This window comes from Homo sapiens, chromosome 20 (genome assembly GCF_000001405.40).
Source record: "Homo sapiens chromosome 20, GRCh38.p14 Primary Assembly".
Lineage (NCBI taxonomy): Eukaryota > Metazoa > Chordata > Mammalia > Primates > Hominidae > Homo > Homo sapiens.
This window is the reverse complement of record NC_000020.11, coordinates 34,434,190-34,450,969: the sequence shown is the minus strand read 5'-3', so window position 1 is coordinate 34,450,969 and position 16,780 is coordinate 34,434,190. Positions and strand designations below refer to the sequence as shown.

Genomic DNA, 16,780 nt, shown 5'->3' with positions numbered 1-16,780 from the left:
ATAACAGTAACAGTTATATGTATAGCCTAATACATTTTTTACCTTTTTGACTCACAGAAGTGTTTTGAGAATAGATACCTTTAAATAAGAGCAATGAGATTTCTCAAAGAAAAGCTTATACCCCCAGTAGCATTTATTAACCAGACTCATGTGATCTTGACACACCAACATTTTTTCTCCATAACTCAGTACTGCTAGAACAATGTATCTTGGGGACCAACTTTTCCCAATCTAGAAATATCACTTTCTGAATTTATCCCAATATTATGAAGTATCTTCAGCTCTTGAAGACAAAACTCTGGTTCCACAATGGGCTTTATGTTGTTTTCCACTTTCTATTATAATATATTATTATCTTGCTTCTATGCAAAACTTTCTATACTGCCATCTTTATTCTGAAACCTTGCTATATAATGCTGTGAGTATTACATAACACTATAAAATAGAACCTAGTAGGGTAGGTCCAGCTTAAAGTCTATTAAGGTCTATTTTAATAACTAAGGTATCAGATATACTCAATAACAGCACATGCTCTTGAGCTCCATGGTGTAGGGCATGAAGTTGACACCTTCACATGTGCTCCTTCCACTCTTCTATCAGATAATGCCAACTTAACCAAACTCTGAACCTTGTTTTAGGAGAACCAATGTGATTACAATTTTTTAAAAAGCTTTTTATTTTGAATTAATTATTACTCACAGGATGTAAAAAATTGCACAAAAAGTCTCACATATACTTCATTTTTCTCCGATGGTGACATCTTATATAACTACGTACAGCATCAAAACCACAGAAGTGGCATTGGTACATTATTGTTAACCACAAACATTGTTAAATTTTCACCATGTTTAAAAGCTGAATTCATTTCTGTAAATATATAGTTCTATGCATTATCTCATGTATACATTATTAATGTAATCACCTATTACCAAAATCAAGATACAGAATCATCTTGTGGATCTTGATGGAATCAAGATGATGGAATCATCATCATCACGTAAAACCCCCTTATGTTACCTTTTAATATTTGAATCCACTTCCCACCTACCCTGTTTCCTGACAAGTACTAATATGTTCTCCATCTCTAGTTTTGTCATTTTGAGAATGTTATATGAATTGAATCACACAGGTTGTGATCTTTTGAGACTGACTTTCTTCATCAAGCAAATTACTCTTGAAGTCCACCCAGACCTACTGGTGTATCAATAGCCCATTCCTTTTTTATTGCTGGGTGATCAGTATCTTTAAACTGTAGAAGAGTAAAATAATTATGAGCGTCAATAAAAGTTTATAAAGAGTCCACTTAATGTTTGGGGAATTTAATGCCTATTTGTGAATTAAACTGATATATATATTAAAAAAAAACTTCCCAGACATTCACTCAAGCAAGAGCACAGTATCAGACATAAATATCTGTTTTAAAATGACACAATTGGAAGAGAACAAAAATGAAATGACAGAACTCCATGAAGAAACTCATGTGACTTACCCCATCCAGGTGGCAATGGACCAAGAGGATCAAATTCTTTACTTTGTGATGTAGCAAATAAATCTTGATTCTAAAAAGAACCAAAAAGTGATGAAACTATTAACAACTTAACAACTTATCTGACAGCAAGCTTATGAGTTCTGATTTCCCTTCCCTGGCAATGTATAACACAGAGAGTTTGTATCTTAAAGAAGTGTCACATGGTTATGGATAAATGCCAATATACTTTGGTTTGGTTTAAAAAAAACCGGTGCAAACATTACCTAACATTTAAAATTATTTAAAATTAAAATACTACACATATATGTAATCCTCATCCCCAAAATGACCATTTTTCCTTTGTGCTACAAATTTTACATCAATAATATAAAAATTAGAAAAATATATAACCCCCCCAAAAGTCATTTACAATACCAGTACCCAGAATCATCATATGACTATGAAAAATATTATATGTGTAACTCAAAAACAGAAGATCAAATACAGAACATGTGACATACAAAGAATTATGAGAAGAGAGTTGGGGGAACAGGAAGAGTGGGCTGCCAGATGAGTGGAAGGAAAGGTTTCCAGCTGGAAAGTGTTAATGAGCCTAGAACTGTATGGAAGACTTCTTAAAAGTTCTGTTTCCAATGATCACATTGGTGGAGAGAAAGATTTGGCTAGATAAGATGAAAGCAAAGTAAGAGTCAACCTTTGGAAAAAGAAAACAAAAGTCACACCGACTCTGTGTAGAGATATTAAGTCTGTTTTGATTTAAATGTATAATTAAGTAGAGATAATTACATGGTCACCCAGTAAGATTTGGTTAAACCCTTTCTTCTTCAGTAAGATAAACAAGAGTCTAACTGCATTAAAAATAATTTCACTATGGGGAAGAAAAAAAAAACAAGTAAAACAGGGCAATGAATCCCACATTCCCACATACCCAGCACCAGGATTCAACACTTATCAAGACTTTGCCAAGTTTCTTTATCTCTTTTCTCCTGTTCTTTGTTGAAGCGAAAATCAAACATTATTTCACCTCTACTACATATTTTAGTATGTCTCTCTAAAATTTGTGGACATTTTCTTTTCTTTTTTTTTTTGAGATGGAGTCTCACTCTGTCGCCCAGGCTGGAGTACAGTGGCACGATCTCGGCTCACTGTAGCCTCCGGCTCCCAGGTTCAAGTGATTCTCCTGCCTCAGCCTCCTGAGTAGCTGGGATCACAGGCACGCGCCACCACGCCCAGCTAACTTTTTGTATTTTTAGTAGAGACCGGGTTTCACCATGTTGGTCAGGCTGGCCTCAAACTCCTGACCTTGTTCGTGATCCACCCGCCTCGGCCTCCCAAAGTGCTGGGAGTACAGGTGTGAGCCACCGCGCCAGGCTGACATTTTCTTACATAATCACAATGTCATTATGACATGTGGTAAAGAATCAATGTTAATTTTATCATCCAATACCTAATCTGTAATTAAATGCATGATTGCTTATTTGTTAAAATCAGGACCCAAACAAAGTCCTTACGTTACATTTGGTTGTTTCTCTTAAATCTCAATATAGAGCAGCTCCCCTGCTATCTCTTCTTGTTTCTTTACCCACCCCTACAACCCCATGTCACCGGCCTACTACAGAAACCTGGTTGATTGATGAGGTTTTAAAGGATATGAGCTACATTACACTACTGATATAATAACTCTTGGATTTAGTGCTGTCGAGAACTGCCTTGCTCCTCCTGACAGACATGATTATGAGAAGATGTGAGAACAGGGAGGCCAGCGGGAAACACTACAAAAGGTCTGAGCCCAAGTTACAGATGAGGTCTGAAAAGTTTGGCACGTGACATACTGTACTGACAATTTTAAGACTGAAGCCAACCCCACTGGCTCTCCCTGGACGGATAAACTAGGGACATGCACAATTAAGCCATGGACCAGGAAGAACCATTTCACAGTGTTTTACTGTCAACCATATCCACTCTGAGACTTAAAATGCTGGGTGTATGACAGTTTCTGTATGCTAGTAAGAGTCACAACAACAATGGTGGACAAAGGCCACTTCATATACTCAATAAACAGACTATTTCTCAGCAACACCCCATCATTTTTAAAGTAAATGTTATTAAGGATGTTAAATTAATTCACTTCAGCTTATATCTTTGGCTATGTTAACTAAAATAGGCTGTTTAGATTCTATGTAATTTCAAACCACTCCACATCAAGTACAAAGAGTAAAAATTTCAGAAAATTGTTCAGATTATATTGGATTGGGCGGGGGGACAGGATGATGAAGGAGAAGCTGTACTTAAAAAAAAAAAAAAAAATTCCAAAGACTCTGAGTACTAAATCGGTCAGGATTACAGTAGTCAAAACACACCGTTGGTGCTCCAGAAATCTGCTAAATCTCTCTTTTAAAAGAATGCTTTGAAAGATTGTGTAATGCAAAAATGAGATAAAGGGTACATATACAGAGGTGAATATGAAGGAGAGAAGAGATGGGAACTAACATTTCTAAGCATTCAGTACATGCCAAATATATTGGAACTTTATTTTAAAGAATCCTCAGAAAAACTCTGAGGCAATTTTATATCTGTATTTATTTTACAGATAAAGGAAATAAGTCTTGATGAGGTTAAGTAACTTACTCAAAGTCATATGGAGAAAGTAACTGTGGAACCAGGATTCGAACCCAGATGTGTCTAACTCCAAAGCCCATGCTCTTTCCACTGAACACCCATGTGGAAACTAGTTTTAAAGAAGGCAGGCAAGCTAGGTATTCAAACCTAGAAGAAATTTGGCCAGGCATACCACAGGTGATTATAATTTAGAAAGGAAGGAAGATGTAAAACAGCATAGAAAAAAAAATGAAAAGAAGGGTAAAGTACACAAGAGACAAAATTCATTTCAGCTTTAAAACCACTGGGAGGGGAAATATAGTTAGCAACTGTTTAGAGAAAGTGGCAGGAAAAAATTGTTATATGAAAGAAAAGTACCTGAGTCATAACCAAGGAACAAAGGGAAGGCTGCTGATAAAGGTGAATTTGTCTACAGCAGTGAGTGCTATTATGATGATGAGGTATAAGGAATAGACAAGAATATGAAGAAAAGGGATAAAACTATGCCTAGTTAGGAAAGGAATACGAAAGGTGCTGTTTTACTCTGATGAATTCTAACAGGGATGATACCAATGGCAGTGGAGGGGAAGAGATGGTGATGGAGGGGGCATTTTCTCCTGAGCTCCTTAAGGCTTGATTTTCTTCGTTTAGGTTCTATATAACAAATCCATCTTGTTTGGCATAGAGAATCAAATTTCTCAATGGATTATTTTCCTTTTCCTCCAGACAAAAGATCAATGATACTGTATGACTTGAGAGATTATAAAATTCCTAGCACCAAAGACTGCATAGCAAAGGAAGATTTTGGAGTACTTACACTATTAATGCAATATTGCTCTACAGGAAAATATGTAAAATTTAAACCATTTGTTTCTAGAAGGGAAATGATTTTATATCAAAGATAATAAAGATTTAAAGCCAGAATAATATAGTAAGCATACTCCTATAAAGGATCAAATTTCTTCAGTCTCCCAGAGTACCAAATAATTTATTAGGTAAGCCTTATCTCCAAATGGTAAAAAGTGGTTAAACTCTTATCATCAGTTTTGCACAACCACTTTAGAGTCAGATGCTCTTAGACCCAAGGCACTAGTAAATTTAGAAATGTTTTAATTATTTTCAAGCTGCTTGGGTTTATTTTTACTACTCTTTTGTTCATGAATTTTAAGTTGTCCTAACTTATTTTTTGCTTATTTTTGACATTAAAAAGAAGAGGAAGTTGGACTTAAGCAAATTACAAAAAGGAAAAACTAGATCACACACAGAATACCCCAGACAAGGTCTAAAAATAATACCTACTAACAGCAACAACTGGGTTGCCATGCTACTTGCACCTTCTTTTTAGTGCTTTCCATGACATATGCTGGAAGGGGCTAGAAACAAAATACTCTTATTAGTTTATTAAACAACAGGCTGCTCACCCCATAAATGAATCTCTGGTTAAACTGCTGCATTGCTCCTTGAAGCTGACTACGCTGTAGCTGCCATTGTTCATAGTTCCGGACGGATTCCAGTGTTGGCCTCTGCCACGTTGTTGTTCTTGTGAAATGGTCAACATAATAAATACGTCCCATGTTGTCAACCCGCCGTTCCCAGCTAAATCAGAAAAAAAAAAAAAAAAACAAGCTAATTCAACAAATACTTGTGAAACAGATAGAATATTTTACCTTGAGAAACTACTTTTGATTTATCTGGAGTCTTTTATGTATTTTTAAATAGTTTGTAAGTGAACTTAAGAGAAATGTTTCTAAAAATTTATTTCTTGAAAGTTCATAAGATGCATTAGTCAGGTTCTTAAAATGCAATACATATTTAGTGAGTAAGTCTCAAACAGTCATTAAGTTTTGAGTTTCTTTTCAATGTTGTTTTTACTGTTTCAATCATAACAGGGACACAAATTAAATATATAGCTTTGGACAGATATCAAAAAGCACTTTTTGGCCAGGTGCAGTGGCTCACACACCTGTGATCCTAGCACTTTGGGAGGCCAAAGCAGGCGGATCACTTGAGGTCAGTAGTTCAAGACCAGCCTGGCCACCAGGGTGAAGCCCCATCTCTACTAAAAATACAAAAAATTAGCCAGGTGTGGTGGCGCAGATCTGTAGTCCCAGCTACGCGGGACGCTGAGCAGGAGAACTGCTTGAACCTATGAGGTGGGGGCTGCAGTGAGCCGAGATCATGCCAATACACTCCAGCCTGGGCAACAGAGTGAGTCTCCATCTCGAAAAAACAAAACAAAACACACACACACAATTTTTCGCAAGAACACAACTAACTTCCTATCTTTTTTTTTTGGAGACAGAGTTTCCCTCTTGTTGCCCAGACTGGATGGAGTGCAATGGCGCGATCTTGGCTCACCGCAACCTCTGCCTCTCAGGTTCAAGCGATTCTCCTGCCTCAGCCTCCTGAGTAGCTGTGATTACAGGCATGCGTCATCACACTTGGCTAATTTTGTATTTTTAGTAGAGACAGGGTTTCTCCATGTTGGTCAGGCGGCCCTCGAACTCCCGACCTCAGGTGATCCGCCCACCTCGGCCTCCCAAAGTGCTGGGATTACAGGCGTGAACCACCACGCCCAGCCCACTTCCTATCATTTTAAATGGGTACAAAATATGTAAGTAAACATTGATACAAATGTTCTAAATAAAACATTTGAAAGAATTGATTGTGTTGATTATGAACATAATTCATAAATGAATCGAATGACTTCACGATTTCTACCTGCTTGGTTATTTAGGGTGGTTTCCAATATTCTGATGTTATATAAATAATAAAATAATGAATATTCTTAATGTAGCAAACTGTTTCTTCCTTTGAATTGTTTCTTTAGGATAAATTTCACAGAGAGGATTATGAAGGGTATGTATTAATACATAATTATGGTGGGCAGATGCAGGGAGGATGACAGGGGCTGGCTCTGTTGCCCAGGAGTACAGTGGCATGATCACAGCTCACTGTAATCTTGAACTCCTGGGCTCAACAGATCCTCCCACTTCAGACTCCTGATTAACTAGGACTACAGGTACATGCCACCATGCCCAGCTAATTTCTTTTTCTTTCTATAGTGATGGGGTCTCACTATGCTGCCCAGGCTGGTCTCAAACTCCTGGCCTCAAGCGCCCATCCTACCTTGTCCCCCCAAAGTGCTAGGATTTCAGGCATCAGCCACTGTGCCCAGCCCCGGCAGCAACTAACAACGTAAAGTTCCTCACCAACACTTGATATTATCTGCTAATTTAATAACTAAAACAGTACCTTTTCAGGGTATATTTCCTTCAGATTACTAACAAGGTTAAGTATTTTTCCATGTTTGTTACTGACTTTCCTCTGGATTAAAAAATATTTTTTCTTCAATTATTTTATATGATTTTTTTTTTTTGACGGAGTCTTGATCTGTCGCCAGGCTGGAGTACAGTGGCACAATCTCAGCTCACTGCACCTCCACCTCCCAGGTTCAAGTCATTCTCCTGCCTCAGCCTCCGGAGTAGCTGGGACTACAGGCGCGCCACAACACCCAGCTAATTTTTGTATTTTTAGTAGAGACGGGGTTTCAACATGTTGGCTAGGATGGTCTCGATCTCTTGACCTCATGATCCCCCCACCTCAGCCTCCCAAGGTGCTGGGATTACAGGCGCGAGCCACCGTGCCTGGACTGTAATGTTAATGTTAATGTTAAAGGCTTAACACCATGTATTAATATATCCTTAACTTCCCCAATTAATTTGAAATGATTTTGCTATTATAGTTTTTTAAATATAATAAGAACTTCATTTTAATATATGACTGGGCTCTAATTCTTATTCATTTAAATAATTACTCTTGAAGAAACTAATACTTAAACTACAGTATTAGTAAACAGGTAAACAGCTTAGACAAGAAAAGTTAAGGAAATTTTTTTTTTTTTTTTGAGACAGAGTCTTGCTCTGTCGCCCAGGCTGGAGTGCAGTGGCGAGATCTCGGCTCACTGCAAGCTCCGCCTCCTGGGTTCATGCCATTCTCCTGCCTCAGCCTCCCAAGTAGCTGGGACTATAGGTGCCCGCCACCATGCCTGGCTTTTTTTTTTTTGTATTTTTAGTAGAAACGGGGTTTCACCACGTTAGCCAGGATGGTCTCAATCTCCTGAGCTCGTGATCCTCCCACCTCGCCCTCCCAAAGTGCTGGGATTACAGGCGTGAGCCACTGCGCCCAGCCCACCTAAGGAATCTTTAGGTCAGAAATGAGTGAAAATAGGGCCAGGCATGATAGCTCACGCCTGTAATCCCAGCACTTTGGGAGGCCAACGCGGGAGGATGGCTTGAGCTCAGGAGTTAAAAACCAGCCTGGGCGACATAGCGAGATGTTGTTTCTATAAAATAAAGAAAAGAAGAAAGAAATATGCGTGAAAACAAAAATTGTTTATCAGGCTCTGAATTAATCAGTTGTCTAGCTCTCTTCTTTTTAATTTGTACTTACCACAAAACAAAGTGGACAGAGAAAGGGCTGACAAGAAAAAGTAAAACAGAAATGTAGGGAAGATTATACAGTTGTAATCCACAATTCTGACTAAATAAAATTATTCTTTTTAAATTTAGATACTTACCCAGGAGGTAGAGGTTCTGGTCTATCCCATGTTGTTCTTTTCTCAACATGATCTACATAGTAAACTCGCCCGTGCTGGTCCACTCTCTGCTCCCAACTTAAATACAAAATTAAAAGGCTGGTAAAATACTTGCATGAGTTACCTGGCTTTTTAATCCTGTCTTTGCATTTCCATTAAATGACCATTATTGAACTAAGGCAAATAAGGACATCAGTTTAGAAAGATGATACAAATACAATTTAGGAATAAAGTGAAGAAATGTAATCTTCAGGCAGTGGCACACAGTGAATTCAATTTCTTCTATGCAAGTATCTGCTCTAGGAGAAAACATATTCCTGAAGAGGCTTGAGGTCCGTCTACCTAGGATACCGAAGTCACTCTCAATCAGGGTATAATCAGGATTTGAGTGGAAAGAAATGGCCAGGCGCAGTGGCTCTCACCTGTAATCCCAACACTTTGGGAGGCTGAGACGGGTGGATTACTTGAGGTCAGGAGTTCAAGACCAGCCTGGCCAACATGGTGAAACCCCGTTTCTACTGAAAATTCAAAAATTAGCTGGGCATGATGGTGGGCACCTGTAGTCCCAACTACTCAGGAGGCTGAGGCAGGAGAATCACTTTAACCTGGGAGGCAGTGGTTGCAGTAAGCCAAGATTGCATCATTGCACTCCAGCCTGGACAATAGAGTGAGACTCCATCTCAAAAAAAAAAAATTAGCTGGGCATGGTGGCAGGTACCTGTAATCCCAGCTACTCAGGATGCTAAGGCAAGAGAATCACTTGAACCCGGAAGACGGAGGTTACAGAGAGCTAAGATCCCACCACTGCACTACAGCTTGGGCAACAGAGCAAGATTTCATCTCAAACAAACAAACAAAAAATAAACAAGAAAAAATTACACCTGAGTATCTTAAAAACAATCTATGAAAATAATCTTAAAATAATCAGGAGAGATTAAAATGGGATTATGAGCACAAATTTTCTCAGTTTTCTGAATTATCTATCACTTTGCTATGATTTTTCTTTTTTCCCCAAGATGGAGTTTTGCTCTTGTTGCCCAGGCTGGAGTGCAGTGGCAAGATCTTGGCTCAATGCAACCTCTGCCTCCCAGGTTCAAGCAATTCTCCTGCCTCAGCCTCCCGAGTAGCTGGGATTACAGGCGCCTGCCACCACACCCAGCTAATTTTTTGTATTTTTAGTAGAGATGGGGTTTCAGCATGTTGGCCAGGCTGGTCTCGAACTCCTGACCTCAGGTGATCAGCCCGCCTCGGCCTCCCAAAATGCTGGTATTACAGGCGTGAGCCACCATGCCCAGCCTATAATGATCTTCTGATGAAAAAAATAGTTTGATATTAAAAAGGGATTTTTTCCCCCTTAAAGAAAAAGGCAATTGGAATTAGGTGATTATTTTATTAATTGGCCTTGGTTAACTTTCAGGGTCCTTTGATGAAAAAATATATTTTTCCACTTTGCCCTGAAGATTTCAAATATGGTGTGTTTTCCTTGTTCATTTTGACTCCAGATCCCCCAAAATCAGTTACAATAACATAAAAACAGTTGGCTGGGTGCTCATGCCTGTAATCCCAGCACTTTCAGAGGTTGAGGTGGTCGGATCACTTGAGGTCAGGAGTTCGAGACCAGCCTGGCCAACATGGTGAAATCCCCTACTAAAAATACAAAAATTAGCCGGGCTTGGTAGTGCACACCTGTAATCCTAGCTACTAGGGAGGCTAAGGCAGGAGAATTACTTGAACCCAGGGGGCGGAGGTCGCAGTGAGCCAAGATCACACCACTGCACTCCAGTCTGGGAGACAGAGCACTCCATCTCAAAAAAAAAAGAAATTAAAAAACAGTCATCAAAACAATGGAGTTTACTGTTGTTTACTGTTATTTTCCTTATTAATAAGTAGGCTTATGAAGAATCCTAAAGACAACATATGTTAATTTAAAAAGTTACTCACCCAGGTGGCAAGGGAGCTTGAGTTACAGGATTTAATGGCCTAGGGCCTGAGCCTCCAGATATAGTAAGAGGAATTATTAATCCAGATGTTGCTCCTTCAGATGTATTTGTATTTGTATTTGTCGGCGGCAGAGAGCCTGTACTAGACCCATCACTTTCAGAAGTGGCAGATGGTGAACCATTGACAGATGCTATAAAAGATTTGGGGAAAATAGGAAAAGAATCTTTCATTTTCTAAAATTCAGGATAGAATTTTAACTGTAAAAAATAAAAGGCAGATGATAAATATAAAACTTAAGATGTAGATGCACAGGTGAAAATTACTTAAAGAAATAAGTAATGGGAAATAACCAACGCTGCCAGTTAATAGGCTTGTTTACTTTTTCGGTCCTGTCTACCCCTATGTCCCATTACTAATCACGAAGCATGTACAGGTTCTCTGATCTTCTGATGTCACTGGAAATAAAAACTTTTAGAATAGGAAATTATTAATATTCCTTGGTATTTTAAGTTCATTTATTAATTTTCCAGCTCCTTAAAACTGCTTTCCTGTGAAACCGTGCAGATTACAGACCAATTTTTGATGTTGGTTATAATATGGAAGGTCTGATAAGAAATAACATTCTTACAGATAGTTAGTAGTCATACATTACACCTTTAAGAAATACTTGTGGACAAAACAATGTCTAGAGGAAGTCACCAAGATTATAATAAAGACATCTTAAAGACTCAGAATATACAATTAATCAAATTATCTATAAAAGGGGAAGATGTGGCTGCAGTGGCTTACGCCCGTAACTCCCACACTTTGGGAGGCCGAGGCAGAAGGATCACTTTCAGCTCAGGAGCTCCAGACCAGCCTGCGCAACATGGCAAAACTCCATCTCTACAAAAAATATAAATATTTAGCCAGGCATTGGTGGCTCATGACTGTGGTACCAGCTACTCGGGAGGCTGAGGCTAGACAATCACTTGAGCCTGGGAAGTAGAGGTGGCAGTGAGCTGAGATGTCACCACATTCCAGTCTGGGTGACAGAGTGAGACCCTGTCTCAAAAAATAAAAAAATAAAAAGGAGAAGATGTATAATTGAATAGAAATTCACTTAAAATTATTTGCAGAGAACTAATGTACTTTTCTAGTAATATTTGGTTTAACTACACTGCATTCCCTGCCCACATATTAGCAGAGAGAAACAATAAAAGGTAAGATTAAAGATTTGTTCTGGCTATCAGAGAAGTGGATAGTCTTATAGGTGTTCACATTTTTACTACCTAAAATATGCTTGTTTGTTGTGTACTTTTTATTTAAAATCTGGGTCATTTAGCATTGTTGGGTTTTCGTTTACTAACTTTTTAAAGGATATACTAGGAATAAGCAACCAAATCCTTGAGTATTTAATACATTTATGTTATAGTTACAAACCATTTAAGAAAGGTACAATGTTATTGCCATGTTATCTGCACCGCCTATACTTTATATTACGCACATGTCATTTTCATTCTCAGTAGAGCACTGCCTCAGTAACGTCACCTTGAACAAAAACTTAGGAAAAAGGCACTTTTGGTTACCTACAGAAAGATCATTCTTTTCCAAAATCTTAAATGTAAAAATACACGCAGAAAATTCACCTAAAAGAATTTCCTGACACTTACCTGAGGATTAATTGCCAACCAGGACATTATTTCCAAGAGTATTGAGAGCTGGAATACAAACCTGGTCTACGTGGGGTGGGTGGTGGTGGTCGTGAAGGTCTTGGAGGTCTAGAAGGTTTAAAACCACCATTTGAGAGTGATGGAGAATTATTCCCACTGACTCTCCTATTTTCACCAGCTCCTGCATCTTCAGGGTCATCTGATCCATTTGTGCTCACTCTGGGTAAGAAGAGGGGAAAAGGAAGGGGGAGAGGGAAATAATGAATACTCCTTGAATTTAAGAAAAAAAACAGCAGGAGGATGAAAACTTCTAAGTTTTTAAGAGCTTCAAAAAAGCTTTTTAATTTCTGGTCAGCCTTATTAAATACATAAAGAGCCTTTGGGTAGAATCCTATATAACCCCCAGAGTTCATCTAGAGATAGAGTGATGGGTTGTCCAAGGGCATAGGAACACTTGTGGCCATTCAGAACTATTAGGTATGCTGGTTCATATTTCAAATAAGCCTTCAGAAGGCCCTATATGAACAGGAACAAAGTCAAGTTCTCAAAATCCTTAGGGCACTATTTTATCACAAGCACAGATAACTTTACCATTGTTGTTTCTTGATTTCCACTGGCTATTAATTCAAGTTTGAGGCAGGTCTGGTTTTCCCATGCTAGGAGAACAAAGTGCACGTATTTCCCAGGGACTAGGCCCTGATATCCCCCAGCTCAGTACAATGGTACACAAAATGTTCAAAGCTAGTGATTTAGAGTAGAAGTAACCACAGACTTTTTTTAAAGGAGCTGTCATTTCTTCAAAGCAATGACATCAACTGGAGGGATAGAAAGGAGGGAAGAACACTAACAGGAAATGTCAGACTGAAAGCTACTGCTACTGTTGGCTAAATATAGCTGATTCCTTTTCCTTCCAGAGGGGCTCTAGTCATAGATTAGAAACAAGGGCATAAGTAGCCAGTCTGCAGATGTCTCAGCCAAGGCTCTGGTATGTACTACCTCCAAACCACTACACAGTACTAACCCATACTCCTAGGAATTTCAGAATAAGCCTGAACAAAATAAAATCTAATAGATTCAACTAACAGAGGCCGGGTGCTGTGGCTCACGCTTGTAATTGCAGCACTTTGGGAAGCTGAGGTGAAAGGATCACTTAAGCGCAGGAGTGACAGATCAGCCTGGGCAACATGACAAGGCCCTGTCTGTACAAAAAAATTTAAAAAGTAGCTGGGCATGGCAGGGCACGCCTGTAGTCGAAGCTACTCAGGAGGCTGAGGTGGGAGGATTGTTTGAGTCTGGGAAGTGGAGGTTGCAGTGAGCTGAGCTTGCGCCACTGCACTCCAACCTGGGAGACAGAGTGAGACCCTGTCTCAAACAAACAAAGAAACAGAGAGGCAGTACCATGTATTAAATTTTTTTTCTGTAAAACATGTATTGCAATGATTTATTTTTAATAAAAACAGTATAACATGATGTTTTGATATACATAGTGAAAAAAAGTACTACAGTCAAGCTAATTAACATCTCTCTCTCCTCACATAGTTTTTTTCTTTTTCCTTTTTTTTTTGAGACAGCGTCTCATTCCATCGCCCAGGCTGGAGTGCAGTGGTGTGATCTCGGCTCACTGCAACCTTCACCTACCAGGTTCTAGCAGTTCTCATGCCTCAGCCTCCCGAGTAGGTAGGACTACAGGCACCTGCCACCACGCGCAGCTAATTCTTTTGTGTATTTCGTAGAGACAGGGTTTCGCCATGTTGCCCAGGCTGGTCTTGAACTCCTGACCTCAAGCAATCCTCCCTCCTTGGCCTCCCAAAGTGCTACAATTACAGGCACGAGCCACTGCGTACCAGTCCTCATATTTTAAAAGACATTTTCAAACTGTGTACCACAGAAATCCTTTAGGGCCTTTCTATTCAAAGTGTGGTCTTTAAACCAAACGGACGAGCACTATACAGGAGCTTGTCAGAAATGCACAATCTTCAAAACTATTCTAGACCTACTATATCAGAGCTAGCATTTTAACAAGATCCCCAGATTATATATGTGGACAGTAAGGTATGACAAGCACTACTTTGGGGGTTCCCCAAATGCTTATAATAGAGGGAACACCTCAGTAATTGGCAGTCAGCACCTGATTAGTGTTGACTACCTGCAGAACATGGTCTGAATGCAGGAAGAGTCAGCTTTGACACTGCTTCTCTTCTTCTAAGTGAGGTTTCCAAAACCATTTTAAGACTGCGTATTGCCTCTCCATGCTATTTTAAGACGTTCCTAACTAGTTTGAAAGAAGAGTTCCTGCTGCTTTTTAAATAACAGATAACAATGAGTAGAATAGACCAAAAATTGGGAAATTAAGGTTTCTAGCTCTGACTCTGCTACTGATGAGTTATGTGACCCAAGAATGCATCCTAAAATGTATTATCTTGACTACAAGATGCCTAAAAATCTTTCAGCTAGAAAATTCATACTAAATTGCACATTCAGTGCTAGACAAGTTTTAGGGATATGTGAGGGAGAAGGAACATTCAGTGCATGAGATAAACCTACTATGATAAAGGTACAGCAGAAACAGGATTCCAAAAATGCTATGATTTGTTGCTGGGGATTAAAATTTGGGGAATTTTAACATCAATGCTGTACACCCTTATAACATTTTGATCTCAATTTTTCAATGGAGTCATCTGATAACCCGTACAACTCCTTAAATTTCCTTGATACTTAGAATTGTTCCTCTTCCTAGATCTTGAACTCTAAAATCCCTCTAACTACAACTTCCTATTTATTCTACCTGCCTCCTACAGTATCTTTTATTCAGTCTCATCACAACCTTCAACTCCTTCCAGAATCTTTACAGTTCATCAGCTCACTTCACGCCTCACTTGGGCTTCATCATAGGCTACTTTCCCTAGTAGTTTCAATTCCTTCACCCTTGCCCAACTGCTTCCCCTCCCAGAAATTCTTCCACCACAACTAACCCCTCATCTACTTTTTACACTACTATTCTCTCAGACCAACAAGTAATGCTGGAGAATGTTCCAGTTGAGAAGTCAGGTGTATTTTAGTGGAGTAAATAAACTAAGTAAAGTAGCATATTAAAGGGCAGGCTGCTCTACAAACAATTCTAATAAATTTTCCACTGGGCCCAGTAAAGAAAAGGTCAGAGGTTTTCACTACCAATTATTAAAGACAAAAACTCTTTTCTCCCCTCTTATTAAAAAGAAGAAATCGGCCGGCTGCAGTGGCTCACGCCTGTAATCCCAGCACTTAAGGAGGCCAAGGTGGACAGATCACTTGAGGTCAGGAGTTTGAGACTAGCCTGGCTTATATGGCGAAACCCCATCTCTACTAAAAATACAAAAATTAGCTGGGTATGGTGGCATGCGCCTATAGTCCCAGCTACTCGGGAGGCTGAGCTGGGAGGATCGCTTGAACCCAAGAGGCTGAGGTTGTGGTAAGCGGAGATTGTGCTACTGCACTCCAGCCTGGGCAACAGAGCAAGACTCTGTCTCAAAAAAAAAAAACCCAAAAACAAACAAACCAAAAAATCACAGCTCAAGACTCCTGGGAGCTAGGGAATTATAAATGACGGATGACTTTGACAACCTAGTAGTAAAACCATGGGTTTAATGAGATTAGTGTGCTGGTATTAAAATTAATGGGAATAAAGAAATTAATAATTTGGTAGGACAAAAAGCTCTAAGTCCTATACAATCATACAGACCTAGGCAAAAGATAGAAAAAAATTAAAATTGTGCTTCAGTCTATGTATTTGTATTTATAGAGTATTCAAATACCTAAAACTGGATTATGTCAAAGAGACCAAGCCAACATTGGCTACAGCTGACATTATTCAACAACTTTAATTGGGTTATCTATATTGTTTAGAAATCAATCAGTTTCTACATCTCTAATCCACTCCTGGACCCATCCCCAGTGCCCCTTGCAAACCTTTTCCATCTCCTCAAATTGCTAATACCAATCTGTAGCTATCCCTGACTCTTCCTCTTCCCTAAAAATAATGATTATCTGCTATCCCTCAACTTTCTCCCATACCTTAAAATTTCTCTGTGCCACTAACCATCTCCATCTGTTTCCCATGTCTGAAAAAGTCTCTCTCCCCTTCTTCAAGGATGATTTGCCTATCATGTCCTGGATGGCAGACTATATCCTCTAGGACTGCCCAACATCTTTTAATGCTTTCTTGCATCTTCATTATATTCCTTTCTTATAGACCTTTTGTCTTACTCTACAAATATAATCAAGCACCCAAACCTAAAATGTTTCCTCAATCCTATCTGTTCCTCAAGCTGTCTTCCCATTCCCCTTTCCTTCACTATACTCTTTTTTAAAATGCAGTTAATATAGTTAGTGCATTTTATTTTATTTTTCCCTTAGGGTTTTCCTCTGTCACCCAGGCTGGAGTGCCGTGGCACAACCATGGTTTACCACAGCCTCAGCCTCCCAGACTCACATGATCCTCCCGCCTCACCTCCCAGGCTCATATGA

General features: G+C 39.2%; 1 protein-coding gene across 15 annotated transcripts in view; it reads right to left on the bottom strand.

Annotated features, from left to right (window-relative positions):
* ITCH (itchy E3 ubiquitin protein ligase) overlaps positions 1-16,780 on the bottom strand; it is a 148,501-nt gene that overhangs the window by 60,804 nt on the left and 70,917 nt on the right. For 14 of the 15 annotated variants that reach the window (NM_001324197.2, NM_001324198.2, NM_001257137.3 and 11 more), the window contains 5 exons: positions 12,339-12,496; positions 10,626-10,815; positions 8,667-8,762; positions 5,509-5,683; positions 1,490-1,559 (listed from right to left, as the gene is read on the bottom strand). In NM_001324197.2, the coding sequence (NP_001311126.1) occupies positions 1,490-1,559; positions 5,509-5,683; positions 8,667-8,762; positions 10,626-10,815; positions 12,339-12,496 (689 nt within the window). Of the gene's footprint in view, positions 1-652; positions 1,250-1,489; positions 1,560-5,508; positions 5,684-8,666; positions 8,763-10,625; positions 10,816-12,338; positions 12,497-16,780 lie in introns of those variants that run through there. The other variant, XM_047440539.1, reaches the window with a different exon arrangement.